The sequence below is a fragment of the Homo sapiens genome, chromosome 1 (genome assembly GCF_000001405.40).
Source record: "Homo sapiens chromosome 1, GRCh38.p14 Primary Assembly".
NCBI lineage: Eukaryota > Metazoa > Chordata > Mammalia > Primates > Hominidae > Homo > Homo sapiens.
The window spans coordinates 43277288-43295312 of NC_000001.11; the positions used below are offsets into that span (position 1 = coordinate 43277288).

Below are 18025 nucleotides of genomic sequence, written 5' to 3' on the forward strand. Positions count from 1 at the left end.
CGGTGGCAGTGAGGTGGAGAGAGGAGCTTGACACATGTCCCTCCTGGGTTTAACATTCAAACTCTAGGTTCTCAGCCATGTCCCTTCATATCTGAGACTGGAAGAATATGCTCTAGAAACTGCCAAATCTGGTCCAGTCCAGGTGGTCCTCACATCACATCCAGTCACATCTCACAGGAGACCTTGGGCCTCTGGACACTCAGGTCTCAGACCTTGGAGGAGCTTCCTCCAGGCCCCAAGGGACCTGCACATGCCCCGTCATACTCAGCTCATGCAGGAGCACAAGGACAGGGGCTGCCTTCCTGCCTTTTGCAGGGGACCTGTGAGACTCCCCTGGGCATAGCCCTGGCAGCCACCCCAGATACCTGGAGGGCAATAGAAGCTGAGGGCCAGGCCCGGCCAGAGATGGGACACACCAGCTCTACCCTCATGACCTGCTCTCCCAAAACTGGACCTTGTACCCTGGGACTTCTCAGCCGCTATTCACTGTAGAGGGTAAAGGTGGGAGGACCCAGCCCAGGCAAGATGAGAGTCCAACAGCCGAGACAGTCCTTCTCTGAGTCTATTTCATCGTTACTTCAAGGTGAGATAATGGTGTTATTGCGGAGTGGGCAAATTGCAGTGAACTTGTTTGAGCCTCATCTTCTCAATCTATAACATGGATTAAGCAGGGCTGTTGTAAGAAAATGCTAGAACAGCCTGGTGTGATGGCTCACGCCTGTAATCCCAGCACTTTGGGAGGTCGAGGTGGGCGGATCACTTGAGGTCAGAAGGTCAAGACCAGCCTGGCCAACATGGTGAAACCCTGTCTCTACTAAAAATACAAAAACCTTAGCTGGGCGTGATGGCACATGCCTGTAGTCCCAGCTACTCAGGAGGCTGAGGCAGGAGAATCACTTGAATCCAGGAGGTGTGGAGGTTGCAGTGAGCCGAGATCGCACCATTGCAGTGCAGCCTGGGTGACAGAACAAGACCTCCGTCTCAAAATAAAAGTGCTAGAACAACATCAGTACTATTATTCTACAGCAGCAGAGATTCTATTTCAAACCCTTTGCTGTCCTGACCAGATCTTCCAACCTAAGTCCTGAGAAAGAGACAGTCAAATCCCCAGCGGGAAGGGAATGAGGAGGAAGGAGATGGGGCAAGCGTCTCCCTCAGAATGAACACAGGTTACCTCTTATGAGGAGCTGTTGCCCTCGGGGTGCCCGCAAGGATATCACTAACACTGCAGAGCACTTGCTCCGTTCCACTTGGCATAGACTCATTTAATCCTGCTAACAACCTTATGAGGTAAGTACTGTTGTAATCCCCATTTCACTGAGAAGTTGGGTCACTGAGAGGCTAAGTAACTTGCCCAAGGTCTCCCAGCATACATGGCCGAGCCAGGATTTAAATTCAGGTAACATGTGCCCTCAACTCACCTTGCCAGTCTGCTAGGATACTGCTGGAGTGTTTTTTCTTTGGTGTTTTGTTTTGTTTTTTTTTTTTTTTTTTTGAGACTGAGTCTTGCTCTGTCGCCCAGGCTGGAGTACAGTGGTGTGATCTCGGCTCACTGCAAGCTCCGCCTCCTGGGTTCACGCCATTCTCCTGCCTCAGCCTCCCGAGTAGCTGGGACTACAGGCGCCCGCCACCACGCCCGGCTAATTTTTTGTATTTTCAGTAGAGACAGGGTTTCACCGTGTTAGCCAGGATGGTCTCGATCTCCTGACCTCGTGATCCACCTGCCTCGGCCTCTCAAAGTGCTGCGATTACAGGCGTGAGCCACTTCACCCGGCTTACTGCTGGAGTTTCTTAAACGTCATGTTGGTGGCTTTGTGTGACTCCATCTTTGGCCTCCACACAGTGCAAGGGATGTAGCCTTGCCTTTGAGGCAGCAGGATGAGACAGTGGGTAGCTGGGTTGGGATTCCCAAGGCAGAGTAGGTAGTGGCAGCTGCCAAGGAGTGGAGGACAAGGTGCAGGGCCAGGGGCAGAGGCAGGCGGGGCCAGGACCCGAAGCCAGAAGACGCCAAACCAGAGAGGGCCTGGCTGAATCCCAAGCTCCCAACACCCCCAGCCCTTTGCGGCTGTGGGCTCAGGTCATGCTCCCTCTTTGCACTTGGGGTCAGGCATGCAAACCACAGTGGGAAGAAATTCCTCCAAGGAATCAAGGCCTTGAAGGACAGGGTCCAAGGTTCTTGTGACTACAGGGCCCTCCTCAGCCAGGCTTGCCACCCACAGCTGGTTCTGAGGGGAAGCCCCAGCTCGGGCACCCTGTGGGGCACAGGCTCAGCAAAATCAACTGCGAGTCTGGGATCAGGCCCTTACCTTCTTCTCCTGGGTCCATCAGAGGTTCTGACTGAGGCCCCAAAGAGTACAGGAGAACAGGGACAGCCAAGCATAGAACTGCACGCAGGGCAGCTCCTCTGTGGTGGGAATTGAAGGAGCCCAGGGGCAGGGGGCAGGCTCAGCTGCCTGGGCAGCAGCTTTTCCTGGTAGGCCAGGACATGCCCCTTAGGTCAGCCTCTGGGGTCCTCCTCCAGGGTCTCAGGCTGGGGCAGCCTCTGCTCTCCCCAGGCCTGTGAGGGGCAGACCATCTCTGGACTCAGGAACCATGGCCAGGTTGGGGGTCATGTGAGCTGGGCTTCCCTCCTCTCTGCTTCCTCCAACTCCCCTGCCAGGGCTTGGTCCGCTGACAGTCTTGAGATGTGTTTCCCGCTCCGCTCCTCTCTGGCGATCTCATCCATTCCTGCTCTCAATGACCCTGGTGCCAAGTGTTCCCAAGCCCGTGTCTGCAGACTAGACTTCTCCCTGTGAACCCAGCAGCCCCGAGGCATCTCCCCTGGAAATCCTGTATCCAACATTGAATCCCCATTGCCCCAACCTGCTCTTCGTCAATGTACCCAGTAACCAAGCCAGAAGCCAGGGTGCGTTTTTCTGATACCTACCTACTCCCCATATCCAAAGTCAACAGGTCCTATCAGCTCTTCCTCCCTCTTGTCTCAAAGTCTGTTCCTATGTCACACCTTAGACAGGTCTTATTACCTTCTCTCGGTGTCTCCCCTCCAATCCATCTCTGCACAGCAGCCAGAATGACTTTTCTATCATGATTATGTCATGCCCTTGCACAAAAAAAGTCCACAGATGAGCTTCCATTGCTCTCAGGTTGAAGTGTGAGCTTGGCATCCAAGGCCCTAACAGATCCACTCTTGGGCTTCCTCACTGCCATGGGCACCCCTCAGATACGACACTCAAGTCCTCTTCAATCTCCTGCCTCTTTCCCAAGCACCTCACTACATTTGCCAATGCCTCACTTTCCTTCTGTACCAGCTCATTCCTCAAAGGCTGACACTGTACTTGGGGAACACATGGGGGTGGCTGCCTGGCTCATGAGAACTGCCCCTTGTCTGAGAATGATCTGGAACAAACAGATGGGCTCCCCAAACCATGCCCCCCACTCATAGCAGATTGTGCTTTAAGCCTATGTATACTTGACCCAAACTGGGCCAAATTGATTCTCTTTTCTGAGCACTTGAAACTTGGAACTGAGAGTTTGGAAGTCCTGGTTATAGAGAGTCCCATCAGTGCCCCTAAACGACAGGATGCTAGGGGTGAAATGCCTGACCTCTGGCTGCTGGGACCGCCTGCTTCCTGCTGTCCCTTTGATTCTATGCAACAGCCAGGACTCTCCCCCAAACTCCTTTCTATTGCTTGCAATTAAAAACAGCTTAACTCAAGTCTTTTCCATCTTAAAACTAGCTCCCTTGTGCAAGAATCTGAGGATACACAATAAGACACAATCTGGGGCCTCAGGGAGCTCCCAGTTTAGCTATGGGGGCAGGCATAGTAAGAGGCAAGTACGAACCGTCATAAAGATTAAAATAAGCCTGTAAATCCCAGCACTTTGGGAGGCAGAGGTGGGAGGATCACTAAAGTCTAGGAGTTCGAGACAAGCCTGGGTGATACAGTGAGACCCCATCTCTACAAAAAATAATTAGCCATGCGCAGTGGCACATGCATGTATTCCCAGCTACTTGGGAGGCTGAGATGGGAGGATCACTTAAGCACAGGAGATCGAGGCTAAAGTGAGCTGTGATAGCCCCACCATACTGCAGCTTGGGTGACAGAGAGAGACCCTGTGTCAAAAAAAAAAAAAAAAAAAAAAAAAAAAGATGGCCAGGTGTGGTGGCTCACACCTGTAATCCTAGCACTTTGGGAGGCTGAGGAGGGTGGATCACCTGAGGTCAGCAGTTTGAGACCAGCCTGGCCAGTATGGCAAAACCCCATCTCTACTAAAAATACAAAAATTAGCTGGGTGTGGTGGTGGTGGGTGCCTGTAATCCCAGCTGCTCAGGAGGCTGAGGTAGGAGAATTGTTTGAACCCGGGAGGCGGAGTTTGCAGTGAGCTGAGATTGCGCCATTGCACTCCAGCCTGGGCAACAAGAGCAAGACTCCGCCTGAAAACAAACAAAAAGATGAAAACAAAATGTGGGCAGGACAGTACTAGAGAAGGGCTCATGGAAGGTGTCTTGGAGGGGGGAGCATCTGAGCAGTGTCTTCTAGCTCTGAGTGATAAAGCCCAGCTCAAGAAAAATAAAAATGAGTGACAGCTTTTTATTTTTATTCAAAATGAAAATAGATTTATTAATTCCTGTGAAAAACATATTATAACCGGATTACCCACTTTATTTATAGGAAAATATTTCATTAAGAAGCTGGCCGGGCATGGTGGCTCACGCCTGTAATCCCAGCACTTTGGGAGGCCGAGGAAGGCGGACTACCTGAGGTCAAGAGTTCGAGACCATCCTGGCCAATATGGCGAAACCTCGTCTCTACTAAAAATATAAAAATTAGCTGGGCGTGGTGGCGGATGCCTGTAATCCCAGCTACTCAGGAGGCTGAAGCAGGAGAATCGCTTGAACCCAGGAGGCGGAGGTTGCAGTGAGCCAAGATGTGCCATTGCACTCCAGCCTGGGCAACAGAGTGAGACTCCGTCTCAGGAAAAAAAAAAAAAGGAAGCTTGGCACTGGTTTTCACCTGCACAAATGTTACCATCTGGGCATATTTGAAATGCTGGCAGGTAGGCAGGCCATCACAGTCATAGAGGATTTAGGAGAAGAGTAGCGTAGGCAGGGGGACCAATGTGAGCAAAGGTGCCTGGGGAAACTGCATGGGAAGTGGTGGGAGGGAGAATAACATTGATTTCGACAGTAAAGTAGGGGAAGGCAAGAAAAGAAACCAAGAGGCCGAGAGGCATGATCACAGAGGGCCTTATGTCCACACTCAAGCCTTTGTTTGGCTTTATCCTGAGAACAGCAGGGAACAGTTGAGAGTTATTGAGCAAGAGAGGGTCATTGTCACTTTGCTGGCTAGTGTCAGGGAAGTGGGGTTTACTCCATCCCTGGCCAACCTTTAAGCCCCAGCCACCTCTGTCCCTGAGGTTCAAGGCCCCCATGTCATAACCACTGTCCTTAAGCTGTCAGGCATGGAGGGAGTGGGGAGGGTCTAAAGATGGGAGCTCAGAGGGAGAAGTGGTCCCTGCTACCCTCTGTCCCCAGCTCGCCAGTCCCAGGCTGAATGTAATTGTCCTCGATGAAGCCATCATCATCCTCATCTTCAGCCACCTGTGGGCGGCCTCCCCTTCCTGTCTCAGGCAGTGGGCGGTGCCGGTAGCTGGCATGGTATCGGCGGCAGAGGTGGCATTTGGCAGCAAGTGCAATGAGGAGCGAGAGGACCACAGCCCCCAGCACAAATCCTACCAGCACAGGCCATGCCCGAGCCCCAGTGCCTGGGCCAGGGGCCACAGCAGACGCTGTGGGGAGCTCCGAAGGCCCAACAAGTGCTGCAGAGAAAGGGACAGCATTATAGGTGGGCCCCAGAGGGGGCTCCCTGGAGAAACCAAGAGCAGTGCAGGTAGGGTCCTTCCCCCAACCCCAGCATCTAAGGGGAAGCCCCCCACCCCCATCATCCTCCCACTGTCACTCACTTTTGTTTGTCTCATTCATGGAGGGGCCTGATGACACCAGTGAGTCTCAGCCTCAACCAGAAAGAGCCCTGGCTCTGAGGAGGCCCCCAGATGCCAGGCAGCCCCAGGGCACAAGTCCTAGAAAATAACATAGGTATGGGTGTCAGGGATGGTCACAGGGTGCACTTTCCAGGTCACACTCACAGCCATGGTAGCCCTGCACAAACTCTGGGGACTGGACAACTGACCACACCAGCTCTCCACAGAAGAGAAACAAGCTGAGCCTACAGAAACTGGCTATTTGTAAGGGACCATCACAGGGTTTGGCTCTGGAAGCTGCTAAAAAAAAAATAAATTGTAGAACTTACTGAGCATTCCTTATAATTCAAGCACCAGGCATCATGCTCACAAAACCCAGTAAGGTAAGTATAAACATTATCCCCACTTTATAGATGAGGGCTCTGAGGCTGAAAAAGGTGAACTGACTCAACTAAAGTCTTCAGATTCGAACCCAGAGCCCAGTCTGTTGCACTGCTTGGTAAGCTGAGGATGGGAGACAGGGGCAGAGGTGGGTCCTGGCTCCCGAAGGTCAGAAAACAGCAATTGCTTGGAGCTACCCAGCCAAAGCGGAGACCACATATGGGGAGGGTGATGCAAGTTGCTACTGAGGACAGGGGCCCTGGACACAGCCAGAGCAGCCCTGGCCCTTCTAAGTTGAAAGCCGCTGCTGCCCACCTCTACCCTCAGCCCTTCAAGCAAACCCCTGTCCTTTCACCTCTACTCAAAGGAGGCCCACACTCTGCCCCCACAGGGAGGCTCAAGCCAGGGAGTATCCAAATGAGGATCACCTGAATCAGGAAATTATCACCCAGGGCTGGGGACACCTAGAGGAGGAACACTTCAATTAGGGGAGTAGCTGGAGGAAGATCATCCAGGCATGGAAACACCTGTAGGAGGAGCACCTGGATCAAAGGAGTGTCTGGAGGAGGCGCACCTGAATCTGGGGAGTATCTAGAGGAGGAGCATGAAAGTTAGAAGTACCTGGCAGACGAACAGCTAGGGCAGGAGCATATCTGCCAGTGGAGCACCTGAACCAGGGGAGTCCTTGGGGGCAGAGTAGCCGGGCTAGGGAAGTACTTAGGAGAGAAGTTGAGGGGAGTACCCCAGTATATTCTTTGATACAAGTGCCTTCAAACCCCCCCCAACCTCCTCACATCCAACCTGGTATCAATCCCCATCATGTCTTCCACTAAACATCTCTGGAATGACAATACCCTCTTCTCCACCCCACTGCCACAGCTGAGTCCAAGCCACCTTCCTCTTGTACTCTAGCCATAATCTCCTAACTGGGCTCCCCACCTCTGGTCTCTTCCACAGAGTGATGGGCCTACAACCCAAATCTGACCCCATCACTAGCCTGGTTAAAATCCCTTCAAAAGCTCCCCATGCCCCACAGTGCCTTGCAATCCAGCACACGGCCCTCAAGCCAAACTCTTCTTCCTCTTCTCCACAGTTCCCTCCCCAGCACTTCAGACAGACACACATGCCCTCCTCCCACTCACCCACCCTCCTGCTCCCTGGCCACGCCCTCCTCAGTTTTTGGGGCGCCAGTCTGTCAAGGCCAAATCAGACCATACCTGCCTGTGAGGTTGTCCCTGGACCTACCCTGGATGACCTGTCACCATCCTGCCCAGTCAACCACCAGTCAGAACCAGTCATTGCTAGGCGGGCAGCTCCCCGTGGGCAACGGCTGGCTGAAGGATCTGTACCCTGGCGCTGCAGGGAGCTGGGCGTTCAGCCCCTCAGTGTGGTGCTTGTGAAATTAACGAGGGGAGCGTGAGAGTGAATATACAGGTGGGAGCGGGAGAGACGTCCTGGGAAGGAGAGGTCAGCTGCTCATTCATTCCTCAGCCTGCTGTGGGCCTCATCCTAGTACTAGGTCCGCAAAACATGAGAATGTGTTACACTGGAATGAACTGAATTCAATTTGACGTTTCTAAGGTTGTATTCCTATTCCTTTCCTCCCTGCCCTGTGAATTCTTCCCAAGAAGACACACACACACTAACCTTCCAAGGGTGCATATACACTCCCCAACAGGCCTCTGAACTCACAGCCCACACTGATCTGCCCATCCCCCATACGCACAGCCCCTCCCCCCAGGTCACACTTTCCTCCACCAACAAACACCCCTCTGACATGCACAGACACCTACCCCAACTCTGATGTGTAGCTTCCTTCCTGCTGCCAGAAGCCCCTTGGGTACTGTGCAGAGCCTGGGTACCCCCTCCCCGGCCCCCCCGGGCCTTCTCTTCTGTTCCCACCTTCAAGAACTGTGCACAATCCGCGGAGTAAGCTTCCGGCTGGGGCCGGCAGAACCTGGACAGGTGGGCGGGTCAAGGCAGAGCTTGACTCACCTGCGGAGGCAGTGGGCGGGGCTGAAGCTGCAGGTCTGGCAGAGGGCGGGCTGCGGCAGCGCCTCCAGTGGGGAGGGATAATTCTACCTCTCCCCCAAGCTTTTGCCAAGAACTTTATGGGTGTAGACCTCACCCTCACCCCCCAATGCTTGCGGTTTGTACAGCTGGGATCCAGAGAAGCGTCCAGCGGGCCCTAGAGGGGCAGACACCTCAGCAGGCAGGTGCTCAGGTTGATAAACAACTGAACGTCCGGTGACTGGTACAAAGTCCAGAGTTGAAGAGGGAGCTTTGCAGGCCTGTAAGGGTGGTGGGCTGGAACCAGAGCGGGTGGGGAGGGCATTCTTTCCAGGCAAAGCCAGGAGGACCAAGAACACTCCCAAATTGCCTACAAATGTGTGTGTAACTGTGTAGGGGGTGAGGGGTGGATCTGGATGGGGGCTCAGCCTTCATCTGGATCTCAGGATCCCGTGACCCCACAAGCCAGGCTCTGAACCTCTCCCGGGTGCTCTCTGATTCCCTTTAGCTTTACTCCTCGTCTCTGGGCCTGGTGCCCCCTGTTCTTCAAGCTCCAGTTCAGGAATCACCTTCCCTGAGTCCTCCCTCTACCCTGCAAGTCCCCACTCTTCCATGCCCAGAGCACCCACTGTCGCAGCATTCCTCATTATCTTGTGATTATTCGCTCTCCTGGGGTGGGGCCAGGCTTTGACAGCCTGTGGCTCCCAGCACAGTACTGACCCAGGGCAGGCTCCCCGTAACTACCTAAGGGAGGAAGGACCGCACGCGCCAAGGCCTGGAGGCCCCGAATTCGCAAGGATAGGCCGGGCACAGTGGGAGCAAGGGCTGCAGAGAGGCCAAGTATGGTGGCTCACGCCTGTAATCCCAGCACTTTGGGAGGCCAAAGCGGGTTGATTGCTTGAGCCCATGAGCGGAGATCAGCCTGGGCAACATAGGGAGACCCCATCTCTACTAGAAACACAAAAATTAGCTGGGCGTGGTAATGCTCACCTGTAGTCCTAGCTACTGGGGAAGCTGAGGGGGGAGGACTGCCTGAGCCCAGAAGTTTTAGGCTACAGTGAGCCATGATTGCGCCATCACACTCCAGCCTGGGCGACAGAGCAAGACCCTGTCTCAAAAAAATAAAAGGGGGGTACAGAGAGGGGATGCAAACAAGGCATGGTAGAACTGTGGCTGGAAGGTGGGGGCCAGTTCACACTTGGCCCTGAAGATCTTAGGATGAAATCTGAACCCTCAGGGCCATCCCTTCCCACCTTTCCTGCCTCCTCTGCTGCAGCTACACCAAACTATTTTCTATTTTCTTTCTTTTTTTTTTTTTTTTTTTTGAGACAGAGTCACTGTGTCACCCAGGCTGGAGTACAGTGGTGCGATCTCAGCTCACTCCAACCTCCAGCCCCTGGGTTCAAGCGATTCTCCTCCCTCAGCCTCCTGAGTAGCTAGATTACAGGCATGTGCCACCACACCCAGCTAATTTTTGTATTCTTAGTAGAGACGGGTTTTCGCCATGTTGGCCAGGCTGGTCTCGAACTCCTGACCTCAAGCAATCTGCCCGCCTTGGCCTCCCAAAGTGCTGGGATTACAGGCATGAGCCACTGCGCCCAGCCACCAAACTCTTTTCTATTCCCAGAACTCACCATGCCCTCTCCTCTCCCTGGCTCTGCAGGCTCTGCTCCCTTCTCCTGGGACTCCTGCCTTCCCCACTCTCCACTGCACCCCTGCAGATGGTGGCCCTTCTCCCCTATATCCCTGAACATGTGGGGTGTGATTTTCTCTTTAGTTTCCCTGCCAACCTGTAAACTCTGGGAATGGACTCTGCATCTGTCTTGTTTCCATCATATCCCCCATATCTAAAATGGCAAAAGTATACCCTTCTGAAACAAATTTGAGGAAAGAAAGGATTATCCTGGATGGGGCAATGAGGTGCCAAGGAGGGCTTAGGGTTTTACTTTATTTTTGAAGCAAGGAAATCATGAGATTCAACTGATATTCATTGAGCACCTAGCGTGTCCTAGACACTGTGCCAGGTTTTCTTAAATTAAGGTGCTCATATACCATAACCTAATTCATATAACATAAAATTCCCCATGTTAGCCATTTCCAGGCACACGATTCAGTAGTGTTTAGCACACTCATAACGTCATGCAACCATCACTCTAGTTCTAAAACTTCTTCATCACCCCAAAGGGATACCCCTGACCAGTTAAGCAGTATTCCCCGTGTCCCTTTCCCCCTGGCCTCTCACGACCATTACTTTGCTTTCAGTCTCTATGGATTTGCCTGTTCTGGATATTTCATATAAATGGAATCATATTTGTGCCAGCTTTTTAATGAACTATTTCACTTAATCCTTGTAACCATGCTATGAGATAGATGTTAACTGTCCCCTTAACAGAAAAGGAAAATGAGGCTGTGAGAAGGTAATTGGTATGAAGTCCTGCAGAGGAAAACAAGCAGAGGGTCTGCTCATCCATCATTCAGTAATTTATTCAATGAATATTTTTTGAATGGCCACCAGAGTCACAGCCAGCCCATATGTCACACATTGCTAAATAGCAGATGGCTATCTGCTGAATGGCCCCACATCATGGAGAACAGAGGGCAGACTGGGTGTCAGCACCCGCGGCTCCTCAGCCAGGAGCTCTGATGCAGTGAACAACCTTTACAACCTTCTGTGGCAGCCCTGACAACCATGCAGAGGCTCTGTGCTAGCTTCTGGGACAATTTGTGCCGCCATAAAGCTTCCATTCTGGTGGATAAGACGAACAATACACAAAGAAATAAATAAGATTATTTCAGATAACAGTAAATGTTGGGAAGAAAACAGCTTCATGATAGCTCCATGTGAACTTGAGAGGTGGGTGCTACTTTAGATAGTCAGAAGAGGGGACTCACTGAAGAGGGCATGTTTGAGCTGAGATCTGGCTAAGAGTGAGACAGTGATTGTGCCAATATCTGGGGGCAGAGCATTCTAGGCAAAGGGAACCGCCAGCACAAATGCTGAGATGCGGGAGCACGGCTGGCTTGTTCAGCTACAACAAGGCGGCCGCTTGATGGAGTGCAGAAAGAGGGGTGCAGATCCAAGGGTCTACACCAGGTGCATATCAGGAGCTATTCCTGAGGGGCCTCACCGGATCTCTCCGGGAGATGGGAAGCCACTGGGGGTTTGAGCAGAGGACTGCTGTTTGCATTGTAAAGGAAACTGTCTGTCTTCTGCATGAAGTACGGACCAGGGGAGGCCAGGGTAGAAGCAGGAGGCCAGTTAGGAGGCTGTTGCGATCATCTAGGGGAAAGGACATGTGGCAGCCAGGAAGTCTGGTGGAGGTGGGGACAAGTGCTCAGACTCCAGATATATTTTGAAGGCAAAGTTGACATGACTGGCTGATTAAATGTGGGGCTTGAGAAAAAGAAAGGATTCAAGAATAACTCCAAAGTTTTGGTCTGAGCAACTGGAAGACTGGAGCTGTCGTTTAATGAAGTGGGAGGAGTCTGGGAGGGAAGCTTTGGGAGGGAAACTAGGACTTCAGTTTTGGACACGTAGGATGCCTGTGAGCTCTCCGGTAGCATCCTAAGTAGAGTGTAGCATCAAGTGGCCTGGATGCAACAGGCGGTGGGGACTAGAAACATACACTTAGGAACCAACAAAATGTAGATGATTTTCAAAGCCAGGCATCTGGATGAGATCCTCAAGGACAAGTATAGAGAGAGAAGAGCCCTGGGATGTGCCAGGAGTAGGGGTCAGGGTAGGGAGGAAAAGCAGGAAAGGAGACCAGGGAGGGGCCCACGTGGTAGGAGGCAAATACGGGGACCGTCCTGGCCAGGGAAGAAAGCATTTCAAGGGCAAGGGCTTAGCTAGCTTGGTTAGTCAAATGCTGCAGGAAGGTTTGTGAAGATAAGGAGTGAGAATTGACCTTTGAAATTGGCAAAGTGGAGATCACCAGTGACCTTGACAAGAGTAGAGGTTTTTTTGTTTTTGTTTTTGTTTTTGTTTTTTGAGACGGAGTCTTGCTCTGTAGCCCAGGCTGGAGTGCAGTGGCATGATCTCAGTTCACTGCAACCTCTGCCTCCCAGGTTCAAGCGATTCTCCTGTCTCAGACTCCCAAGTAGCTGGGAGTACAGGCATGTGCCACTACACCTGGCTAATTTCTGTAGTAGAGATGGGTTTTCACCATGTTGGCCAGGCTGGTCTTGAACTCCTGACCTCAAGCAATCCGCCCACCTCGACCTCCCAAAGTGCTGGTATTATAGGCGTGAGCCACCGTGCCTAGCAATGAGAGCAGGTTTTTTTTGTTTTGTTTTGTTTTTGTTTTTGTTTTTGAGATGGACTCTTGCTCTGTCGCCCAAGCTGGAGTGCAGTGGCGTAATCTCAGCTCACGGCAAGCTCTGCCTCCCGGGTTCACACCATTCTCCTGCCTCAGCCTCCCAAGTAGCTGGGACTACAGGCGCCCACCACCACGCCCGGCTAATTTTTTTGTATTTTTAGTAGAGACGGGGTTTCACCATGTTAGCCAGGATGGTCTTGATCTCCTGACTTCGTGATCCACCCATCTCAGCCTCCCAGAGTGCTTGGATTACAGGTGTGAGCCACCGCACCCAGCCAAGAGCAGTTTTACGAGACAAGAGAGTGTTCTGGGGACAACTGCCTGATTGGAGTGAAGCATAAGTATGGGACCAGAGGAAGTGGAGACCACACCTCCAAGGAGTTTTGCTATAAAAGGAGCAGAGACATGGGACTGACACTGGAGAGGGGTGTGGGACTAAGGGAGGATTTTGCTTTAAGGGGAGGAGCTGTTAGACCATGTGTGTAATGCTGGCCAGAATAAGCCAAGAGAGACTGGAAATTGATGATGCAGAAGGAAGAGAAGGGACAAGGCAAGTGTGGAGTCCCTGAGGAATCGAGAGGGTGGGGTCAAGTGCACGGGGAGGGTTGGCCTTGGACAGGAGCAGCAGAGTCCCTCTGAGTCAAAGGAGGAAGGTGGCTTAGACAGGTAAAATGCACTAGGTCTGTGATGGGAGCCTTAGGAAGCTTTCCCCTGATGGCTTCTGTTTTTCCCGAGAAATAAGAAGCAGTGTCCTTAGCTGAGTGAACAGCAGGAAGGGGGTGCTGAGGCTGAAGAAGAGAAGAGAAAAGAAGGTGTGAATTCATCACCCCAGAGCGTGGCAGAGAGAATGGGCCCAGGCGTATAATGGGCTTGCCAGACAGCCTCAGGCCTCCTTTAAGGTAGATGGGCATGGTCAGTTAGGGTGTCTGAGTTTTTTCCTCTTCTAGTCCCTCCAAGTGCAGGTGGGGAGAAGATGGAAAGACGGGTTTCACCAAGATTAGGGATTTGCTGGGCAAATATGATAAAGCAAGAAGGGAGTGGGCAAGGGAGCTGAGCTGTAGGCAAGGGAGTGGTTGTAATGATGGCCCACAGTATCTGGTCAGGTTAAAGGGGGAAGTGGGTACAGAGGGGTGCAGAGAACCCAAAAAGGTGGTAGGATCGATGGATTTTAGGATGGGTTGCTGGTGTACTAGAGAGAGTGAGTAGAAAAAATAGAGAAACAGGAGGTGGTGGGCAGATGGTGGCAGAAGGAAATTGAAGTTACACGAGGGATGCAGTTTTGTTTTGTTTTTGGGTTTTTTTTTTTTTTTTTTGAAACAGAGTCTCACTCTGTCACCAGGCTGGAGTGCAATGGCGTGACCTCGGCTCACTGCAACCTCCGACTCCCTGGTTCAAGCGATTCTCCTGCCTCAGCTTCCCGAGTAGCTGGGATTACAGGCACGCGCCACCATGCCCAGCTAATTTTTGTATTTTTAATAGAGACCGTGTTTCACCATGTTGGCCAGGATGGTCTCTATCTCCTGACCTCGTGGTCCACCCACCTCGGCCTCCAAAGTGCTGAGATTACAGGCATGAGCCACTGTGCCTGGCCTGCAGGTTTTGTTTGTTTGTTTGTTTGATTGATTTAAGAGACGGAGTCTCACCTTATCCCAGGCTAGAGTGCAGTGGCACGATCATAGCTTACTGCAGCCTCTGTCTCCTGGGCCCAAGCGATCCTTCCGGGTAGCTGGGACTACAGGCTTGTGCCACCACGCCCAGCTAATTATTTTATTTTTTGGAGACAGGGTCTTGCTTTATTGCCCAGGATGATCTCAAACTCCTGGCCTCAAGCTATCCTCTCACCTCAGCCTCCCAAAGTGCTGGGATTACAGGCCTGAGTCACTGCGCCTGGCTGCATGCAGTTGTTGACAAAGACAAGTCCTAGGATATGAACGATGGAGTGGTCCCAAGGTGCAGTCTACAGACCAGTGATGGTTTTGCTCTTATCCAAAGCACACGATTAACTCAACCTTCAAAATCAGAGGTCTGTAGATAACGTCTGAAAAACTCTGTTAATCAGTGGCAGAGCCAGAATCCAAACTCGGGCTTCTGACTCTCAGTCCAGCACCTTTTCAGTGGCGCAGCAGCTAAGTTCCTCTGCTCCTATGAGTGAAACTGATCATCCAGGTGTTGGACTCCTCAAAATCTTTGGAGTGACACATCGCAATCACTTCCTTTAAAAAAAAATGTGATTATATTTCCTAAGAAAACTCAGGATGCTGCCACCAGAAGATCAGGGAATGGGTGCTGAGCAGGCAAAAAACCGAGGCGCCCTAGCCCCTCCCCACACCTGCTCCCTTCTGCATCAGACACAAGCCCTCCCTGCAGCAGATGGGACTTCTAGCCTGAGGGCCTTCGCCTTAGGGTAGCTGCAGAGCCCTTCTGAGAAGCTGATGAATGCAGGAAAATGCATGTGTGCACCCAATCACAGATATGCTCACAGGCCGGATGCTAATAAGATGCTCCACAAACACTTATTGGATGAATGAATGGTTAGAATTCCAGGCAACTCACTTGCTCGCTCCAGATTAAGAACTGGTGTTATGGGCTGGGCGTGGTGACACACGCCTGTAATCCTAGCACTTTGAGAGGTTGAGGCAGGCCAATCACTTGAGCTCAGGAGCTGGAGATCAGCCTGGATAACATGGCAAAACCCCGTATCTACAAAAATAAAAAATTTTTAAAAAAATTAGCCAGGCATGGTGATGTGTGCCTGTAGTCCCAGCTATCAAGGGGGCTGAGATAGGAGGATCGCTTGAGCCTTGGAGGTCGAGGCTGCAGTGAGCTGTGATCGCACCACTGCACTCCAGCCTGGAAATGAGACTCTGTCTCAAAAAAAAAAAAAAAAAAGGAACTGGTGTTAACACTTTCCACTCTGTGTACAGGGACCTCTGTTCTGTTGTAAGCAGATGCCCCTTTTGAATCGGTAGAGGACACCTTCCTTCTCTTTGTAAGCCTCTGGAGGAAGGCTGCCCATTTCCCAGGCTTCCGGCCTCTTCCAGCCCCAGCCTCCCAGAGAGGAATTAGCCCCTTCTTGGGACTTAGGACTGTCCTTAGGGACACCACACTCTTCCTCCTTCATTCAAACTCCACCTTCCCAGAAGGCTGCCTTTCCCTATTCCTAGTCTGCCCTCCCTGACCTCCTAGACATGCCCTGGCATTGGAAGTCCCACTGAGGGCTGTGCTTGAAGCTTGGTGAAAACGAGCCCTCTGAGCCAGTTATCCCTAAGAAGTCACAGTTCCCTGAGTCAGCTCAAAGGATCTATCCTCAGTGGAGCTTCCCAGGAGACTGAGACTAAGGAATGTTTTGAGACACATCTTCTAAGGTTTCCTCACTTCTTCAGGAGGAGACCAGCCTATCCAGGGCCATGTATGCCATGAAACCCTGAGGGCGAGAGCTCACCAATCCTCATGGGTCACCAACCACACCACCCTGAAACTCCAGTGTGATTATGTCATGGAGCTGCCACATGGGATCTAACCTCAGGTTCATGGGACAATTTCTTCCCAAGCCACCAGCTCCACCTCACTACATCTGACCTAGGAAGATAATTAGATATCACACATGCATGGTGTAACGATGGCAGTCTATGAATCCCCTTGGTTATTATCTCTGGGGTAGCCAGGTCTCGCAAGAACAGAGCTCAGCAGGCCTGCCAGGGACTACCACACCCTCTCCTGAGGATGTCGTGTCCATGCAGCTGGCCAGAGGCCGTAGACCCACTGGACAGAGCTGCCCCACCACGCTGCCCCTCCCAGCCCTGCCTGCCTGGGCCCCAGCAATACCAACGGTCATCTCTGCCACATTCTTGCTTTCTCATGGGGGCCCTGTTAGAAACGGGAAGGGAGGAAAGCTGGTGCCCACCTGAGACCCCCAGCTCTGAGACTCCAGGGGTGTTGGAGCAGTTCCCATAGAGAAATCCTCTGGGGGCAGGCACCACTTAAGTCTGTAGGAGAGGTCTCTCCCCAGGGGAGCAGGAAGCCCACACCTGTGTGCTGGTGCCATAGTTCACTCCAACTCCCCAGTGGGAGCCAGTGTCCCTTCCTTAGGGTGCGGGCAAGGGTGGAGCTGGCAAAGCACCAATATGCCTTCAGGGAGAAAGGGCTAGGGAAAGAGGAGTTGAGACACTGCCTTCAAGCCTTTCCTCATCATCCCTGTGTCACCACGAAATAAATCATGCATCATGAGCACTAATGGACTTGTGTTGTCACTACCTCTTATCCTCAAAGTAAGATTGAAGCCAGGGGTGGTAGCACACACCTATAGTCCCAGCTACTCAGGAAGCTGAGGTGGGAGCATTGCTTGAGCCCAGGAGTTCGAGGCTGCAGTGAGCTATGATTGCGCCACTGCACTCCAGCCTGGGTAATAGAGCGAGACTCTGTCTCTAAAGTAATAGTAATAATAATAATAATAATAAATAAACAAAGTAAGATTGAACAACCAGAAAGCAGCCCCCATGTGTGGCTCCTGCAAAGAATGCGTGGCTGTGGCCCGAGCCAGCTTTGTCTCATAAAATGTGTTTTGTATGCTAAGTAGGCTGCTGTTGTTTGAGGCAGAAGAACAATGAGTCACTTGTGTCATGTGCTATTGGGTGTGCTATTCTTCTAGGATTTCAGAGTGACCTGAGCTAAAGCAAGGACCTGATGGAACTTAAAGGCAAGACATCCTTAAAATTCATGCCTGCCCATCTCTCCTGGTCAGCCCTTGCCTTTTAAAGGGCACCACTCCATCATCACACAGCACAGAGTTGAGCTCATTGTTTTCCAGAATAAAATTTCAGATGCATGCTGGATACAAAAGGATTGTTTTTCTTCAATCATTTTTAAGAGTTTGAAGGATGACATGCAGATGAAAGCAGCCTCCCTGGGTGTGCTGGCCTTCTTCCTGTCTAGGTAGTATAGTCTAACAGGCCTTGGGCATAGTTAAGCTCTCTGGCTGTGGATCAAACTGTCTGGGGTCAAAGCTGAACACCATCACTTAACTAACCTGAGGATGCATCTGTTTCCTCATCTGCAAAATGGGGATCATAATAATGACACCCGGCTGGGTGCGGTGGCTCACGCCTGTCATCCCAGCACTTTGGGAGGCCAAGGAGGGCGGATCACCTGAAGTCGGGAGTTCGAGACGAGCCTGAGCCCGACCAACATGGAGAAACCCCATATCTACTAAAAAAAAATACAAAATTAGCCTGTAATCCCAGCTACTCAGGAGGCTGACGCAGGAGAATGGCTTGGACCCAGGAGGTGGTGGTTGCAGTGAGCCGAGATTGTGCCATTGCACTCCAGCCTGGGTG

General features: G+C 51.9%; 1 protein-coding gene across 3 annotated transcripts, besides 2 other annotated features; it reads right to left on the reverse strand.

Annotated features, from left to right (window-relative positions):
• Nucleotides 1–4589: 4589 nt before the first annotated feature.
• On the reverse strand, nt 4590–8570 carry C1orf210 (chromosome 1 open reading frame 210). 3 transcript variants are annotated; one of them, XM_011540802.3, is made up of 3 exons: nt 8359–8570; nt 5965–6081; nt 4590–5820 (listed from the first exon to the last, which is right to left on the reverse strand). In XM_011540802.3, exons 2-3 carry the CDS (start codon nt 5981–5983, stop codon nt 5498–5500), a joined length of 342 nt encoding a protein of 113 aa, XP_011539104.1. In that variant the 5' UTR covers nt 5984–6081; nt 8359–8570; the 3' UTR covers nt 4590–5497. The 3 variants fall into 3 exon arrangements, with proteins under 3 accessions (XP_011539104.1, NP_001158301.1, NP_872323.1); NM_001164829.2 differs by lacking the exon at nt 8359–8570 and adding an exon at nt 8266–8294; NM_182517.3 differs by lacking the exon at nt 8359–8570 and adding an exon at nt 8157–8294.
• Nucleotides 8275–8833: an enhancer, noted in NCBI's record as "H3K4me1 hESC enhancer chr1:43751233-43751791 (GRCh37/hg19 assembly coordinates)". NCBI's record gives its function as "activates a minimal SCP1, AML or CMV promoter by ChIP-STARR-seq in naive H9 embryonic stem cells {active_cell/tissue: H9 hESC(naive)}" and the evidence as "EXISTENCE:reporter gene assay evidence [ECO:0000049][PMID:30033119]".
• Nucleotides 8834–9391: an enhancer, noted in NCBI's record as "H3K4me1 hESC enhancer chr1:43751792-43752349 (GRCh37/hg19 assembly coordinates)". NCBI's record gives its function as "activates a minimal SCP1, AML or CMV promoter by ChIP-STARR-seq in naive H9 embryonic stem cells {active_cell/tissue: H9 hESC(naive)}" and the evidence as "EXISTENCE:reporter gene assay evidence [ECO:0000049][PMID:30033119]".